General features: G+C 43.7%; 2 long non-coding RNA genes and 2 pseudogenes across 4 annotated transcripts in view, besides 1 other annotated feature; 3 read left to right on the top strand and 1 right to left on the bottom strand.

Moving 5' to 3' along the window:
• Window positions 1-10848, top strand: part of WDR87BP (WD repeat domain 87B, pseudogene) — a 31475-nt pseudogene extending 20627 nt beyond the window's left edge. Inside the window, exons 4-6 of the transcript NR_040015.1 lie at window positions 1056-1223; window positions 9230-9501; window positions 9853-10848. The product of NR_040015.1 is annotated as a WD repeat domain 87B, pseudogene (transcript). The remainder of the gene's footprint in view (window positions 1-1055; window positions 1224-9229; window positions 9502-9852) is intronic.
• LOC728853 (WD repeat domain 87 pseudogene) lies at window positions 2654-5503 on the top strand (annotated as a pseudogene).
• Window positions 7932-17159, bottom strand: LOC644554 (uncharacterized). Its single transcript, NR_040013.1, has 5 exons — window positions 16869-17159; window positions 14953-15073; window positions 14264-14346; window positions 10664-10759; window positions 7932-8398 (listed from the first exon to the last, which is right to left on the bottom strand). It is a non-coding gene; the product is annotated as an uncharacterized LOC644554 (long non-coding RNA).
• Window positions 17000-17501: an enhancer, noted in NCBI's record as "H3K27ac hESC enhancer chr19:38307709-38308210 (GRCh37/hg19 assembly coordinates)". NCBI's record gives its function as "activates a minimal SCP1, AML or CMV promoter by ChIP-STARR-seq in naive H9 embryonic stem cells {active_cell/tissue: H9 hESC(naive)}" and the evidence as "EXISTENCE:reporter gene assay evidence [ECO:0000049][PMID:30033119]".
• LOC105372394 (uncharacterized) overlaps window positions 17298-17862 on the top strand; it is a 26083-nt gene continuing 25518 nt past the window's right edge. For both annotated transcript variants that reach the window (NR_187848.1, NR_187849.1), the window contains exon 1: window positions 17298-17509. This is a non-coding gene — a long non-coding RNA (uncharacterized LOC105372394). The remainder of the gene's footprint in view (window positions 17510-17862) is intronic.

Raw genomic sequence — 17862 nt, 5'->3', positions numbered from 1 at the left:
GCCTCAGCCTCCCGAGTAGCTGGGACTACAGGCGCCCACCACCACACCCAGCTAATTTTTTGTATTTTTAGTAGAGACGGGGTTTCACCGTGTTAGCCAGGATGGTCTCGTTCTCCTGACCTTGTGATCCTCCCGCCTCGGCCTCCCAAAGTGCTGGGATTACAGGGGTGAGCCACCGTGTATTCCTTTCTTTGTAAGCATTTACTTGTTTTGTATACTCAGTTGTTAGTTATTTGTTTAACGTCTGTTTCCCCTCTGACTCATCTTCTTAAGAGCCAGAGCCATGTCTGTTTTGCTCAGCACTGTACCCTCAGAATCTTTCATAGAACCTGTCAGCCTTTCTCAACTGTGGCTCTTCATCTGAATCATGGAACACAGAACATGATTTGAGGGGCTACTTTCTCATTTCTCTCAATGCCTCATAACTAGTAGCATTCTAGATGACTAGGAAAGAAATCAATTCATTATGTAGATTGGATACTTTAGGACATGAGGGCTTACTTTTTTTTATGGAAACTTGGTTGAGAAAGTGTAGAAGAGACCAATTGATACAGATGTATTCTGTTGCAAACTGAGGGTGAGGGAGGGATGACCCCTCCAGTGCTGCTTTCCAGTAGTAGGGTAAACGTTGGTTAGCTCAAAAACAACAAATGACCACTCATCTCTCAGTAAATATTTATTTATTTATTAAACTTATTGAGACAGGGTCTCGCTGTGTCACCCATGCTGGCGTGCAGTGCTACAGTCATGGCTCACTGTGGCCTGACCTCCTGGGCTCAAGCGATCCTCCTGTCTTACTTAGCCTTCCGAGTAGCTGGGACTACAGTCATGCACCACCATGCCCAGCTAATTTTTGTATTTTTTGTAGAGATGGGGCTTTGCTGTGTTGCCCAGATTGGTCTCAAACTCCTAGGCTCAAGCTATCTGCTTGCCTTGGCCTCCCAAAGTGTTGAGATTACAGGTGCAAGCCACCACACCTGGCCAGTAAATATTTCTGAAATGAGTGAATGAGTGGGGACTCAGAACTCTTAACTCAGGTCATTCTTCTCTCTCAGAATGATGAAGAACCAAAGAATGATGTGGTTCTACTGAGTGACTGGCCTGAGACTCTATACCGGGAGTCTCACCATCCACAGAACAAGCCTTTTGTCTGCTTCTACTACTCCATCAAGGTCAACTGTTTTGTCTCCTTAAACTGGATGGAACCCTGTGGAAAAATGCAGGTAAAGCCACCTCGTTTTTCCCCCTCTCCTTCTTAATTCAATTTACATGCATCACACCTGAACTGCCCTCATTTTAGAATGATGGTAGTGACTGTGAATTAGCTCATTTTAGTACCCATCTCCATATCCCAGTTTGACTGGATGCAGTGATCCTTCTTCACCTCATGTTATCAGGCCCTCAGAATTCATATTCTCCATCAAGTAGACTGAAGGCCAAGAAAAGGGCCTTGAACATGGTGCTTCTATCACATACCCAATTCCTAGTATAATAGTCCCCACGAATTCATGGGGGATACATTCCAAGCCCCCAGTGGACATCGGAAATTGCAGATAGTACCAAACCTGACTGCCATCAATTGGAACATGTTTGTGTTCATGTGGCTCACCTACAAATTTTGTGCTTTTTCCCTCATAACTAAGTGCTATCATGCACTATGTCCATAATGCGTGCACTTGAGGTGCAACAGCAAAACTAGCATGAATTTGTCTTTCCTCCTTCACAATTTCACAGAAGATTCATTCTTTTTTTTTTTTTTATTTTTGAGACAGAGTCTCACTCTGCTGCCCAGGCTGGAGTGCAGTGGCACGATCTTGGCTCACTGCAACCTCCGCCTCCCAGGTTCCAGTGATTCTCCTGCCTCAGCCTCCTGAGTAGCTGGGATTACAGGCACGCACCACCATGCCCGATTAATTTTTGTATTTTTAGTAGAGACAGGGTTTCACCATGTTATTCAGGCTGGTCTCGAACTCCTGACCTCGTGATCCGCCCGCCTTGGCCTCCCAAAGTGCTGGGATTACAGGCGTGAGCCACTGCACCCGGCCAAGAAGATTCATTCTTACTATAGATGGTAGCAACCTCAGCATACAATTGCTTTCCTTATTAAGTCAAGAACCTTCACCTTTTCACTTAAAGGAAGCATTTTGTGGCATCTCTGTGGCATATCTGAATTGCCAGTATTACTATTCTTGTGCTTTGGGACCATTATGAAATAAAATGAGGGTTTCTTGAACACATGCACAGCGATACTGCGACAGTTAATCTGATAACTGCAATGGCTACTAAGTGACGTAACAGGCAGATAGGGTATGTAGTGTAGATAGGCTGGACAGAGGGATAATTCAAGTCCCAGGCAGGATGGAATGGGACTGCCTGAGATTTCATCCTGCTACTCAGAACAGCATGCCATTTAAAACTTATGAATTGTTTATTTCTGGAATTTTTCTTTTGATATTTTTGGACTGCAGTTGACCACACAGGTAGTTGAAACCACAGAAAGGGAAACCATGGGTAAGTGGGAGCTGCTGTACTAGGAGATTCCTAAAGTCAAGCTGTCTAGTCTTTCCTTAGTCACACCAGAGGGAACAGGGATCTGAATATTCAGCCTTCCCTACCCCACACTTTGGAAAATGATCCACCTCCACAGTCAGGCTTTCATCTCTCATCCTCTTCTAGGCAGTACTTTGGATACAAAAAAAGGGTACAGAAATGAAAGGAATGGTAGAGAAGATGAGGCTTCGCATGATGGATCAGTGGCCGCCCATTCAAGCAATGGTCCACACAGGTTCCTACCACATGTTAATTGCTTACTGTGGTGACATGCGCCTGAGGCTTTTTGGAGATCACCGTCGAACGTTCAGATTTCTGGGTACAGTGCCCTGTCATTTCTCCACCAGCTGCCTCTTCTATGATCCAGAAGCTGAGTTGCTGCTCTCTGGTACCCTGGGGGCTGTGGTTACCTGGTTTATCTTACCAAATGGCATGGGCATCGAGATGGCTCAAATAGTACCTATGGCTGATCATGAGCTTGTACAGGGATTTTCCCTGAATGGCCCCCAGGGATCCCTGTTGGCTCTGTGTGAGGATACAGTGAGGGTCTTCATTCACCGGGGTCAGGGCCAGCTGGAAGAAGTGAAGTTCACTCCTGTCGCCAGTGGCTCTTCCATCACTTGCTCCTTTACTTGTGTCTCTCAGGGCAATTTCTATGCTGGAAACAGGGCTGGAGAGATCCACGCTTGGGGTTTAGACCAAGGTAACTTCCTCCACAGCTTTCAAGCCCATTCCTCATCAGTGATATGTATCCATAGCCGGCCAGAGATCCACACCTTACTAACAGCAGGCAGTGAAGGCATAGTGAGGGAATGGAATCTCACTTATGGGAACTTGCTGCGGCAGCTGAATATTGACGAGGATCTTCAGAGACTGCAGTTTATTGATAATACCACTTTTTTCTGCCAGACCACCTACAGTTTTTCATTGCATCACCTGCCCTACTTTTATAGCCTCTTCAATGTCTGTGGTTCTGCTCCCCAGCAAGTGCAGCGGGTCTGCTGCGGCCATAACTGGACTCGGATTCTATGTGCCACTGAGGATGGTTTATTGCGCTTCTTGTCTCCAGTAACAGGGGATCTCCTGGTTATCACTTGGCCTCTACTTGTTATGGATAAGGCTTTGGCTTGGGCCTATGACTCAGAGAGAGAGGAACTCTTTGTGGCAATAGGCAGTTCAGAGGTGCTGGTGTTTGATGCAACACGCTCTCCTTGTACAGCCAAGTATCTTGTGTGCACTTCAGCAGACCGTAAGGATACAGTAAGATGCTTGGCCTATGGGAGGTCCCATCTGCAAAAAGGCCTAGGAGGATTGATGTTCTGTGGGCATGAGAGTGGCATTGTGAGAACCCTTTCCCACTATAGTTGTGCCCGAATAGAGAAGACTGTTCACTCTGGGGCAGTATTGGCATTGTCTACCCTGGAAGGCCCTCAGGGAAACGCCTTGCTCTGTTCCTATGGCACGGATAACATCATACACTTGACAGAGGCCGTGCTTCAGGTGAACAAGGTAGTCCTTCAGCCTGTCAGCAAAATCCTCTGTGGCTGCCCCCTAAAACGTGTGATACTCTTGCCAGGTTCTGTGGGTGCCATCACTGAAAGCTACTGCTGGTGTCTCTGGCACTATGAAGGCTTTCTGACATCTTCAGAATCAAAACAGAGCTTTGTGTGGAGAGAGACAAAATGCCTGCATGAGTGTGACATCACTTCATTTGATGTCTGCCTTCCCCTGAAACTTTTTGTCACAGGTGGCATTGATGGCTCAGTCCGGATCTGGGACTTCCACGGTAGACTTGTAACCGAGTTCGACTCAGCCCTGCATTTTGGACCACTCTGCTTTGCCAGTAATCGAAGTGACCTGTTGTTGACTTTCAACCAGCGTATCTACATAGTATCTTGCTTAAAGCTGCTCCCTCCAGCTCAGCTGGTTCACCTGCGTATCCTAAAAAATGCAGATGAAATACAAGAAGTCCCTAAACCCTTCCTTCCTAGCTTCTTCTTTATGTTTGAAACAGTATTTGTACCCAGATTTGTCTACCTTGGAAAAGGGCGGCAGGAATTACAGGGGCTAGAGACCCTTGTCAACAAACGGTTCATTGCTTTTGACAATACTGTGCCTCATGTTGTAGAAGAAGAGAGAAGCATGTCCCTTGTGATTCAAAAGACCAAATTTCCTCTTTTGGAGGATAAGGATATTGATTTCTCTACTCTTGATTCCAAGTATAATCGTCCCCGACATGAGGTTCCTGCTCCGTTGCAGCTGGCTGGCTGGGATGGATTCAATGCCTACCAAATGCCACAGTGCTTCTTTGGTCAAGGGCGGCAATGGCCCTTTGCTCCTGATGGCCATCCCCAACTCAGTGATCCGTGCTCGCCCTTGGCCTGAGGGTACCCCAGTCTTCCTATGCTGTGATCTGTATTCATCCTACCAAGTTAAGGACTGGGACTTGTCATCTATGACTCTAGTAGAAGAGAAAATTTCAAGGAGTCAACAAAAGGATAAATCCAAGGTGCGAAAAGGAACTTCCCTTGATATTCTTGAAAGCATGGCAAACCAAAATTGGATGAGAAGAAAATATAGTGGAAGGCTTATGGATGATTTAATAGAGGCCATCCTCAACCTCACAATTTACTGCTCTGTAGAGGAATACAAGAGATATTTTAGGGTACTTAAACGTATTTTTGCCACTTGCCAGATATCTTCAGAGTTGGTTTCTAAGACTGCCCATCGCCTCCTACAAGACACAATCCATTCCAATCCACGTATCCGTGAACTACCCTGGGAGGCGCTGGATAGGCTAGGCCTCATGAACCATCATTTTGCTATTCCACTGGCTATGGGATTGATGGACAGTGATGAGAATGTGCAGGCTAAGGCCTTATACCTTATGGTAAGAGTCACAGGCATCCAAACCAAGACCAGGCTGGTACACCTGCTGAAGAAACACGAAACTCTCCAGAAAATGCAGTAAGTTGGATGGTGACCTTCTCCTCTTCTGGTTCCTTCCATCTCCTATCCTCCAAAATCTGTTTCTTCCCATTTCAAAAATGCTTTTTAAATTCTATTCCTTCCAGGCACAGTGGCTCATGCCTGTAATCCCAGCACTTTGGGAGGCCAAGGCGGGCAGGTCACCCGAGGTCAGGAGTTCGAGACCAGCCTGGCCAACATAGTGAAACCCTGTCTTTATTAAAAATACAAAAATTAGCCGGGTGTGGTGGTGCATGCCTGTAGTCCCAGCTACTTGGGAGGCTGAGGCCCAAGAATCGCTTGAACCCGGGAGGCGGATGTTGCGGCAAGCTGAGATGGTGCCACTGCACTCTAACCTGGGCAACAGAGTGAGACTCAGTCTCAAAAAAATAAAAATAAAAATAAATAAATTCTCTTCCTCCCTCTTTGTTCTTTGTTTCAATTTGCTCTTTTACCCAGCACCTACCCCTTTCCTTCTGACCACTGACTAGCCTGTCTTTCCATCATTTCTTCAATTTCTCAAGATTCCTCAAGACTCATGTCCACAAATCTCCCAACCAAAGAAGCATCATGTGTCCCACTGACTACAGGCATATTTTGGAGATATTGTGGGTTTGGTTCCAGACCACTGCAATAAAGTGAATACTGCAGTAAAGCAAGTTACATGGATTTTTTAGTTTCCCAGTGCATATAAAAGTTATATTTACCCTCGACTGTAGTCTATTAAGTGTGCAGTAGCATTATATCTAAAAAATCAATGCACAGGCTGGGCGTGGTGGCTCACACTTGTAATCCCAGCACTTTGGGAGGCCGAGGCGGGCATATCACCTGAGGTCAGGAGTTCAAGACCAGCCTGGCCAACATGGTGAAACCCCGTCTCTACCAAAAATATAAAAATTAGCTGGGCGTGGTGCTAGGCACCTGTAATCCCAGCCACTAAGGAGGCTGAGGCAGAAGAATCACTTGAACCCGGGAGGCGGAGGCTGCAGTGAGCTGAGATTGCAGCACTGCACTCCAGCCTGGGTGACAAGAGCAAAATTTCATCTTAAAAAAAAATCAATGCAGATACCTTAATTAAAAACACTTTATTGCTGAAAATTGCTAATGATCATCTGAGCCTTCAGCGAGTTGTCATTTTTTTTGTTGTTGGTGAATGGTCTTGCCTTGATATTGATAGCTGCTGACTGGTGGGTGCTAAAGGTTGAGGTGGGTATAACATTTTATTAAAATAAGACAAAGAAGTTTGCTGCATCAGTTCACTCTCCCTTTCATGAAAGATGTCTCTGTAGCATGTGGTGCTGTTTGATAGCATTTTACTCAAATAGAACTTCTTTCAAAACTAGAGTCAATCTTCTCAAACCCTGCCACTGCTGTATCAACTAAATTAATGTAATATTTTAATATCCTTGTCCTTTCAGCAATGTTCAAAGCATCTTCACCAGGAGTAGATTCTTAATCCATTCAAGTTTGATCATGAGGTTGCAGCAATTCAGTCACATCATCAAGCTCCACTTCTAATTCTATTTCTCTTGTTATTTCCACCACAAGTAACTGCAGCAGTTACTTCCTCCACTGAAGTCTTGAACCTCTGAAAGTCATCCGTGAGGGTTGGAATTAACTTCTTCCAAACTTCTGTTCATGTTGATACCTGACTTCTTCCCATGAATCACAGGTATTCTTAATTGCATCTAGAATGCTGAATCTTTTCCACAAGGTTTTCAGTTTACTTTCCCTAGATCCATGAGAAGAACTGCTATCTATGGCAGCTATTGCCATACAAAATGTGTTTCTTAAATAAGACTTGAAAGTCAAAATTAATCCTTGATTCATTGGCTGAAGAATGGATGTTGTGTTAATAGGCATGAAAACCACATTAATCTCCTTATACATCTCCATCACATCTCTTGGGTGATGAGGCACATTGTCAGTGAGCAGTAATATTTTGAAAATGATCTATCTTTCTTGGCAGTGGGTCTCAATATTGGGCTTAAAATCTTCAGTGAACTATGCTATAAAGAGATGTGCTGTCATCTAGGCTTTGTTCTTCTACTTATAGAGCACAAGCAGAGTAGATTTAGCACCCTTCTTTAGGATCCTAGGACTTTCATTACGGTAAATACACATGAGCTTTGACTTAAAGTTACTAGGTGCATTAGCCCCTAACAGGAGACATGGCATTTCCTTTGAAGCTTTGAAGCCGGCCATTGACTCCTCTCTAGCCATGAAAGTCCTAGATGGCATCTTCTTTGAATAGAAGGCTGTTTTGTCTACAATGAAAATTTGTTATTTAATGCAGTCACCCTCATCAGTTATTTCAGCTAGGTCTTCTGGATCACATGCTGGAGGTTCTCCATCAGCACTTGCTGCTTCACCTTGCACTTTTATGTTCTGGAGACAGCTTCTTTCTTTCAACCTCATGAATTATTCTCTGCTAGCTTCAAACTTTTCTTCCACAGCTTCCTCAACTCTCAGCCTCCATAGAATTGAAGAGCATTAGGGCCTTGCTCTGGATTAGGTTTAGGCTTAACAGAACGTTGTGGCTGGTTTGATCTTCTATCCAGACCACTAAAACTTTCTCCACATCAGCAATAAAACTGTTTCGCTTTCTTGTCATTGTGTGTTCACTGGAGTAATACTTTTAATTTGCTTCGAGAACATTTCCTTTGCATGTGCAACTTGGCCTGCTGTTTGGCACAGGAGACCTCGCTTCCAGCCTGTCTGGACTTTCAACATGCTTTCCTCACTAAGTTTAATCATTTCTAGCTTTTGGTTTAAAGTGAGACACATGTGACTCTTCCTTTCACTCGAACACTTAGAGGAGATTGTAGGGCTATTAACTAGCCTACGTTCAATATTGTTGTGTCCCAGGGAATAGCGAGGCCTGAGGAGAAAAGATGGGGGAATGGCTGGTTAATAGAGCAGTCAGAATACACACAACATTTATTGGTGAAGTTCACCATCTTACATGGGTGCAGCTCACGGTGCCTTGAAACAATTACAATAGTCACTTCGAAGATCACTGATAACATATCACCAAAATGGATACAATAATAATGATGAAAAAGTTTGAAATACTATCAAAATTAGCAAAATGTGACAGAGACAAGAAGCAAGCACACGTTGTTGGAAAAATGATGCTGAGAGGCTTGCTCTAGGCAGGGTTGCCACAGACCTTCCATTTGTAAAAAACACAGTGTCTGTGAAGCATAATAAAGCAACGCACAATAGAACGAGTTATGTGGCACTACATTCCTTGCCATCCCTCAGTCTTTCTTTTTTCTTTTTTGAGACGGAATCTCGTTCTGTCACCCAGGCTGGAGTGCAGTGATGTTATCTTGGCTCACTGCAGCCTCTGCCTCCCAGGTTCCAGTGATTCTCCTGCCTCAGCCTCCCGAGTAGCTGGGATTACAGGCACCCACCACCATGCCCAGCTAATTTTTGTATTTTTAGTAGAGATGAGGTTTCGCCATATTGGCCAGGCTGGTCTTGAACTCTTGACCTCAAGTGATCCACCCACCTTGGCCTCCCAAAGCGTTGGGATTACAGGCGTTAGCCACTGCATCCAGCTACATTCTTTCTTCTTTAACCAGACTTTACTTCAGCCTGTTCTAAATTACTACTTTATCCCTCTCTTCCATTGTAACTTTTTCTTTTTTGAATTTTGTTCTATCACTAGCTTAGTACTGTACTTCTTTTCCCTTGACTTATATAGGCAAGAAATTATCGGAGAAATCACTCTGGGCCAACTGCTGAATATTCAAGCTGAAGATATACAGTCCCTGCTTATTCATGTGGAGCAGCAGCTAAATGAAAACTTGACCTTGTTACAAAGAGAAAAGTCATTTACTTTTTCTTTTGATATACCATGGTCTGAAGAACTTAAGGTCTTTTCTGAAGACATGTGCATACCTTTGTCAGAACCTGTAAAGATCACCAAACCAAAGAAAAGAAAGAGACATTTTCAAGCAAGGAGCAGAAAGCTTAGTATGTATAGGGTGATATATGGGGCATGTTTGGGGCCAACCTCAGGGCCCCAAAAGGCAGGGTGGGTAAGGCCAAGGTATATGAAAGGATACTAGTGAGAATGGAGTTCAGTGGGAGAATCTTATTCACAGAAAGTGACATTCCTGAGAAAGATCTACCCCACAGCAAATACCAAGCTCTTATTTTGTTAGAATATGGATGGTGGGATGAAACCGAGCATTTCCATATCATAAAGCCTTAGTCCCCCTGCTTTGTATCTCTTATGGTAGCTCAATGAATTAGATTTTACAAAGGATCTTACTCAAGACCTCTGTGTTTCTGTTAACTGTTTTTCTCCCAATATCTCTGCAGTTAAAAAGGACCTGAGAGTTGCCAGGAAGCACAGAAAGACAAAATTGGAAATGTCTAGTTCCATGTTGATGCCTTCAGAAGATGCAGGTGAACAAAGAGAGGCCGGGAAATCAGAGCTAGTTGAAACCCAACATGTTACCTTAGAGCCAGAGCTACCACTGAGTTCTCTAAGCACAGTCAAATCCCAGGATTATGCTGAAACAGAGCAGGAGGTCATTTTACAAGCTATAGAGGCCATGGAGGCCACAGAAGCCCTGGAGGCCACAGACGCCATGGAAGCCATAGATCAAGGTAGCATGAAAGATTATGGAGATGTGATCTCTAAGCTGGAAAGAAAAGAACACATTAAAAGGCTTTGGAAAAAGTCAATGAGAAAAGGCAGAATTGCAGATGTGCTGTGGAAAGAGAAAAAAGATTTGAAGGATATTTCAGAGGTGACTACAGAAGAACCTAAGGAAGACATCGTAAAAATTGATGAGCAAGAAGAAGGTAAAAGCAAGAAAAGTGAAAAGAAGAGCCGGGGTTTGGCTGGGACTCCTGGACGTGCAGGTAGACCAGACACCAGATCTTGGAGGGATGGCATTTGTTCTTTTGTCACTTCAAGGATAGCAAGTTCCCATCCAGGAATGTTAAGGTGAAGGTGAAGCTCACTGGGTAGCTTATGCAGAGTATTTATCTTCCTTATAAATCACACACCTTTTCTCTGCTGTGAATGGAGATTTCCAACTAACATCCCAAGTGTATGTCTCTTCCCTGACCACACAGGTTGTTATTTACACAGATGGCTTCCCACAGTCAGACTTATTTTTACCTGTACACCATCTTCCTTTTTCTTCCCTTACAATCATCCAGGGCTCTTTTCCTTGCTCCAATGATGTAATTACATCTGGCTTAGAAAAGTCATGTCCTGCTTACAAAGAAAAAAAGGCCACTTGATATAGAAACATACTTTGCTGTCAAAATTACAATTGTAATAAATCAAGGATCAAAATGAAACTGAATAAGGTTTTTGAGAGGATGAGGAAATTAAAGAACAAGAAATCAGTTAGGTTGGGTAAGGATTTTAAATATAACCTACACACCCATATCTTTTTTTTTTTTTCCTGAGAGTACACATAATACCATGGTTGAAAATACAGACTCTAGAGCCTGGTATCAATTCCTGCCTTTACCACCTCCCAGCTGTGCATGACCTTCAGCAAGTCATTTAAATCCACTGGGCTTTAATATTCTCAACTGGAAAATGAGGATATAATAAGATTGTCGAATTTAATAAGGATTAAATTGGTTGAGACATATATGTGAAATGCTTAGAACACTACCTTTAATAGACACAGTGTTCACTACTAAGGTTATTATTGATATTGTTGTTTTGTTAAGAGTATACAAGAAAAGATATTTATAGGATATTCATTCCATTTAAAATGTAATGTTTATAGATGACAACTTTAAACCACAACTTTCAACCACGAATAAGTTAAAATTTGCTTAGGAAATAGAATGTGTTTGCTTCAGTTTTAAATGAATTCAATTTATCTAATCCAAAGCTATATACATTATAAAGGTTCTTTTGATAATTAGAGCAATTCAGGATCCTATGTCAAGGTAATCTGCAAGTGGATCAGATGCTATAATGGAGTATCCACAGTAATTCGGAGCATAAAGAAATAGGAAACCTGGATCCTTTTACAATGGTTATATAATATAGGCTGCTGAATCCTAATCTAGCCCTTCCTTATAAAAGAAGAAAGACAACTGTAACTATGACCAGAGAAAAGTTTGAACATCACTGAGGGACAGGGAAGATGAGTATGTCTAGTGAAGCTGTCACTTCCTACCCAACAAAGCCCAAACCACTTCTTTGGGGAAAAGGGAAAAGAAATTTAACTAGTCTCTTGAAAGACAGCCCTAAAAATCACAATGAAAAATCATCCTAGAGAGCAGATTCAAAGTTATCCTAAATTGTCTGAGGCAGAAAACATACCAAGTTACTACAGTTCTCCATCATCACATCCCAATACAAGGTCTTCTGAACATGGTCGAGACATTCCCACTCCTGCTGCGAGAAGTCTATGGCCACATCCCTGAATGTCATTGATGCCCGAAATGGCAAACCCATAGTGTTACTGGAGAAATTAAAGGAATACTTTCAAGATGGATGGAGGGGAAATAAGGACTGTATTGCAGGAAGAGAGCAATGTAACAAGCATGTTGTCTACAAATTTACAGTATGAGGGGGACTGAAGTGGAATGTATACGTATTTTTGAAAAAGACTGCTGGCATATAGAAAACTATGTGGCATACTCTAAAATACTTGCACCATTTGGGAATAAATAAAATAATAATGTTTGCCTATGAAAGTAAACAGTGAATATAAGCATAATGTCTGATTGGTATCTGCCATATAAATTTTTAAATACATATGAGTTGCTGGGGAAAATTTTTGCTTTTAAGAGGAGCAAAAAATTTAATCAGATATTTTCCCCAAATGAAGTATAAAGTCTTGATTATTATTATTTTTAATAGAGACAGGGTCTTGCTGTGTTGGCCAGGCTGGTCTTGAACTCCTGGTCTCAAGCAATGCTCCCATATCAGCCTTCCTAAGTGGTGAGATTACAGGTGTGAACACCTGGAATTACAGGGATTACAGCACCTGGCCTTGATTTTAGAAAATAGGGTTTACATAAAATTAAGAATTCTCTCAAGCATTAAATACTTCATTACATCAGATCTCACCATAAGCATTTTTCTCTTGTTTTGACAAATCCATGTATTTTGGGGGCACATGAGAATTATATCTTAGGGCAATATCAGACTTACTTGTTTACAATGCAGTTAGGATACACAACATTTTTAAGGTCTTCCCCAGTTCTAGGATTCTGTGTTCACTTGCTACTTATAATGACATTCTCTTTTGTGGCTCTCTACCATCTCTCACTGAGCACCTGGCTTGCTATATAGGTTACCAAAGATCCCCATCCGATAGTATTACATGCTTGTGTAATCTCCTTCCCTTGCACGTGGGCTGAACCAAGTGACTTGCTCTTAATAAGCAGAATAGCTACAGTGCTGAAATGTTACTTCAGCACTTTTTCTGTATTTCTCTCCCTCTCTTGATGTCTCATTTGCTCACTGATTAAAACACAGCCACCATGTTTTAAGCTATTCTATGGACAGACCCACATGACAATAAACCAAGAGCAGCTTCCAGGCAACAGCGAATGAGGAACTAAGACTGTCAGTCTGAAGCCTGTGAGAAACTGGATCCTGTTAACAACTAGTTGAGTGAGCTTAGAAAAAGATCCACCCCAAGTTAAGCCTTAAGATGACTGTAGTCCTGACCAAAACCTGGATCTCCTTGTAAGAGATCGAGAGCCAGAGAGGCAAGCTAAGCCATGTCTGGATTTCTGATCCAAAGAAACTGTGAGATAAATGTTTGCTGTCTTAAGCCATTAAGTTTTGGTCTAATTTGTTATGTAATAATAGATAACAAATGCATTGAGTTAAAGAATACTAAGGAAGAATAATGAATTATATACATGTCATCTAAATTTAGTAGGTTCCATCCAACATCAGAATAGTCCTGATATTTATTCCTGAGGGGTTTCTTGCCAAAATCCATAACCTCCAAGTTTGCAAGTCCCCAGTCATTTACTGAACCACACAAAGCATGAGATTTCACCCAATGAATGACTGAGTTTGATCATTCAATACCAAATTTTCATCTTCACTTCCTGGAAATCTCCAGTCGGTGATAATTTAAGTTTTGTTATGGATGGTCAAATACAACCATTGACTCTATCTTACCAAACTAGACTTGACCCAAAAAGCACAAATCTTTACTTAAAAGGACTTAACTCCACCACTGCCCTTGATAGAGGGCTCTTAAGACATGCTGAATAATTTGCTCAGTAATTACATGAACAAAGGAGGTTTATAATGGGACATATTGGGTGGATGCTGGGAACTGGAAGAATAAGAGCTGGAAGCATGTTATTTGATGAGCCTCTCCTGGTAGGAAATTTCAGGAAAATTAATAAAAATACCTTCATGACCTAAAAACACACACATATTTCTTTTTTTTTTTTTTGAGACCAAGTTTCGCTCTTGTCCAGGCTGGAGTGTAGTGGCACAATCTTGGCTCACTACAACCTCTGCCTCCCAGGTTCAAACGATTCTCCTGCCTCAGCCTCCTGAGTAGCTGGGATTACAGGCATCTGCCATCATGCTGGGCTGTTTTTGTATTTTTAGTAGAGACAGGGTTTCACCATGTTGGCCAGGCTGGTGTCAAACTCCTGACCTCAGGTGATCCACCCGCCTTGGCCTCCCAAAGTGTTGGGATGACAGGCCTGAGCCACCGTGCCTGGCCAACACACACATATTTCAACAAGGAGAAAAACGTGAACTTACATGGGCCATGGTTTTAGAACTGCAAGAGTAGATCAGTCCTCAGGGTTCCTCTACCAGAGAAGCACAGATCCAGAAAGCCAGAGCTGGAGGAAGAAGAAAGACCTTGAGACCAGTTTTGCATTAGTGTTCCTGACAGACCTTAAGTTACTTAATATTGCTGTGATGCTCTTCCATTCCAGGTCTCAAACTATTTCCCATCATACATAATTCGGGCAAATTGGGGTTCTGGATAAATCTATTTCCTCCCCCAAATCACAGAGGTCTCCACTGAACAAAGTCATAGAAGCGAAGCATTTCTGGGGCCAGGCACGATGGCTCACGCCTGTAATCCCAGCAACTGGGGAGGCTGAGGCAGGAAGATCGCTTGAGGTCAAGAGTTCAAGGCCAGCCTGGGCAACATAGTGAGACCCAGTCTCTACAAAATAAAAATCAGCTAGGCATGATGGCGCATGCCTATAATCCCAGCTACTTGGGAGGCTGAGGCGGTAGGATCGCTTGAGTCCAGGAGTTCAAGGCTGCAGTGAACTATGATTGTGCCAGTGCACTCCAACCTAGGTGACAGAGCAAGACCCTGTCTCTACAAAAACAAAACAACAACAAAACAGAGGCATTTCTGCATCACAGACAAACTATGATGTTAGCAGGGAGGTTTCTGGCCACTGTATTATTTTGGTGAGGCAGATGTAGACCTGAGATTGGGCAGCAGGGTCCTGGTCTGGGTAGATCCTCTTCTTTCTATTCCCATCTTAGAAGATTGAAGGCCCACATCGTCCAGAACTTCTTCTGTGGCTTTTGAACTGAGCAAAGACACTGGGGACAGAAAGGCAGCATTTAGTATTTTGGATCTGACAAAGCTTACTAGATATGGCAGACCATCGTACATGTAAAATGGGAAGCTGTGAAAAATACTTAAGGACACAGGAAATATTTCAGATATACTGTCAATAGAAAAATCAGGTTGGCCAATATAATCATTATTATAAAACATGACTATCAATACAGAGAAGCAGACGATTACTGAAATCAGTAAACAAAAACTTGGAAGGTTATATGGCCACCTATTAACACTATTTTTCTTTTTGTTTGACCTTGATTTTAATTTTTAAAGCCTTGTTCATAATTATTCCAATAATAACAATAGGTTAACTTGAAACACATGTGGGCTTTTTTAGTTTTTGTTGTTGTTGTTGTTGTTAACAGGAAGATGTTCCCCCAAAAGAAAGGGACTTGAGACAATGTCTTTGTTCTCTACATTTACGTTGTTATACTAAATGTCTTATCTTTTGTTTCCTTTGGATCCTATTATCTGAACTTACTTGATCATTTCTTCTCAGGTATGACAGAATTCTGTCTTGAAAAAATGGGGAGTAGTCCCTGAGTAATCTTTTGAATAAACTGATGGCGGTCACCACACAGCTTTATTTCAGATCTTCTGGACAAAAAGGCTTATTTTGTTTCTAAGCCTGTCAGATAAGTCATGTCCCCTCAGACAGCTTCTGAATTATTATTATTTTGTTTTATTTTTATTTTTGAGATGGAGTCTCGATCTGTCGCCAGGCTGGAGTGCAGTAGCGGGACCTCGGCTCACTGCAAACTCCACCTCCTGGGTTCAAGCGATTCTCCTGCCTCAGCCTCCCGAGTAGTCCCAGCTACTCGGACTGGGCGCACGCCACCACGCCCAGCTAATTTTTGTATCTTTAGTAGAGATGGGGTTTCACCATGTTGGCCAGGATGGGCTCGATCTCTTGACCTCGTGATCCGCCCGCCTCCACCTCCCAAAGTCCTGGGATTACAGGTGTGAGCCACCACGCCCGGCCGAATTACTTTATTCTATTATAATACTTTCATTTTGCATCTAACCTAATTAGAAGGAAACTGTGAGCCACGAAAGTTACAGCACAAAATCTATTTATTGCCATAGATTCAACAGGATTGGTATAATTTGTTCATATCCTGTTGTGATAGACAGACTGAAGTGTATTTCCAGCGAATTCACGAGGTAGGATCACACACTGCCTAACACATATTAATCCTATTCAGATATTACCTTCACTGACAGATAATAAACATTTTAAAGGACGCAATAATGTCTTTTTAGTAACTGTATTGTCCCAAATACTACAAATTCCAGAGTCACCACAATGTAGAACATTTATGATCTTACCCTTCAAGGCTCCACTTGCAAGTACACTCTGCCGCAATCCCCAGGAGGGAATCCTATCCTAGAGTCTATCTGTTACCAGGACCCCATCTCAGGGCAATTCCTGATCCATAATTCCCATCCTAACAGCAAGTCCGTACCTTCTTGCTGGAAACTCAGGTAGGACTCAATATCTGATTTCCTGGATGGGACCATTTCTCTGTGGCAGTCATACTTGACTGAGAGGAGGACAAAGGAAACAGCAGGGAAGGGTTGCTGACGCCACGGAGCCACAGCAACGCACGCTTTGCAAAGGACACGCACTGCACATCCAGGTTACGCAAGGTCGACCACGCACCCCTCACAGTCCCACAGCTGCACCCACGTCACACAGGCACGCCCGGCCCTGTCGCCGCTGCGCGGTCTCTCACACTCCCCACCTGTCTCCCAAAGATGAGCCCCCACCTCGGCAGCTCCAGCACCCCCGGGCCTGAGGAGGCGGGAGAGAGCCCGGCCCGCGCCTGGGGCCTCCGCGCTCTGAACGCCTCCAGCAGCCCCACTCTCACAGCCCTGTAGGGTGCCACGTGGGCTGCGGGCTGGGGCTGTAGGGGCTCCCGCAGCGACCCACGCCGCCCTCTTGCTCAGGTGACTGCAGGTCACGCGCAGCGCGGAGCCAAAGGACCAAGTTTTCTCCGTCGTCAGTGGGAAACGTAGTCCACGACGGAATATCCAGACCCGCAGTCCCTGTCGGGAAATGAAGTCTAGGGGCGTTAAAACCTCTGAGAAAAGCCGTGGTGACCACGGCGACCGCCCGCCACGCCCACCGCCGAGTCCCGGAGGCTTCGGGGAGTTGCAGCCTGGGCTAGGAGTGCGCATGCGCAGAGCGGCCAACCCGTGAGGGAACGTTTCTGACGCTAGGTCAAGGGCGGTGTTCCTGTGTTCTTAGGGCCCCAGGAGGCGAGTCTGAGTGGAACCTGGCTGGGGTAGGCTGAAAGGTGACTTCGACGCTCTTCTGAGGCCTCAGACGTGTGTGATGACTGCCCTGTAGAATCAGTGCTGTGACCCCGAGTAACAACGCGCGCTTGAGTTGGTATAAACTCCTGAAGGTAGGTTTATAATGTACAATTCTGTACGCTTGTGTAATACTTTTTGTATTTTGCATGGATGGGCTTTGCTGCATTTTAAAGCCCATAGACTGGAGAAACATCTTTCATTGGTAATGCCTGGTCATGAGATCCCAAGACAGTGAAGATAAATTGTGGCCAAACGCCCAAAATCTGGGTAGAAGGTGCTGTCAGAAGAATTGAGCCAGGCGTGGTGGCTCATGCCTGTAATGCCAGCACTTTGGGAGGCGGAGGTGGGAGGATTGCTTGAGCCTGGGAGTTCGCCACCAGCATGGGCAACATAGCAAGACCCTGACTCTGCAAAAAATAAAAAGGTTCGAACCTGTGGTCCCAGC

This window comes from Homo sapiens, chromosome 19 (genome assembly GCF_000001405.40).
Source record: "Homo sapiens chromosome 19, GRCh38.p14 Primary Assembly".
Taxonomy (NCBI): Eukaryota; Metazoa; Chordata; class Mammalia; order Primates; family Hominidae; genus Homo; species Homo sapiens.
This window is presented reverse-complemented; position numbering and strand designations above follow the sequence as displayed.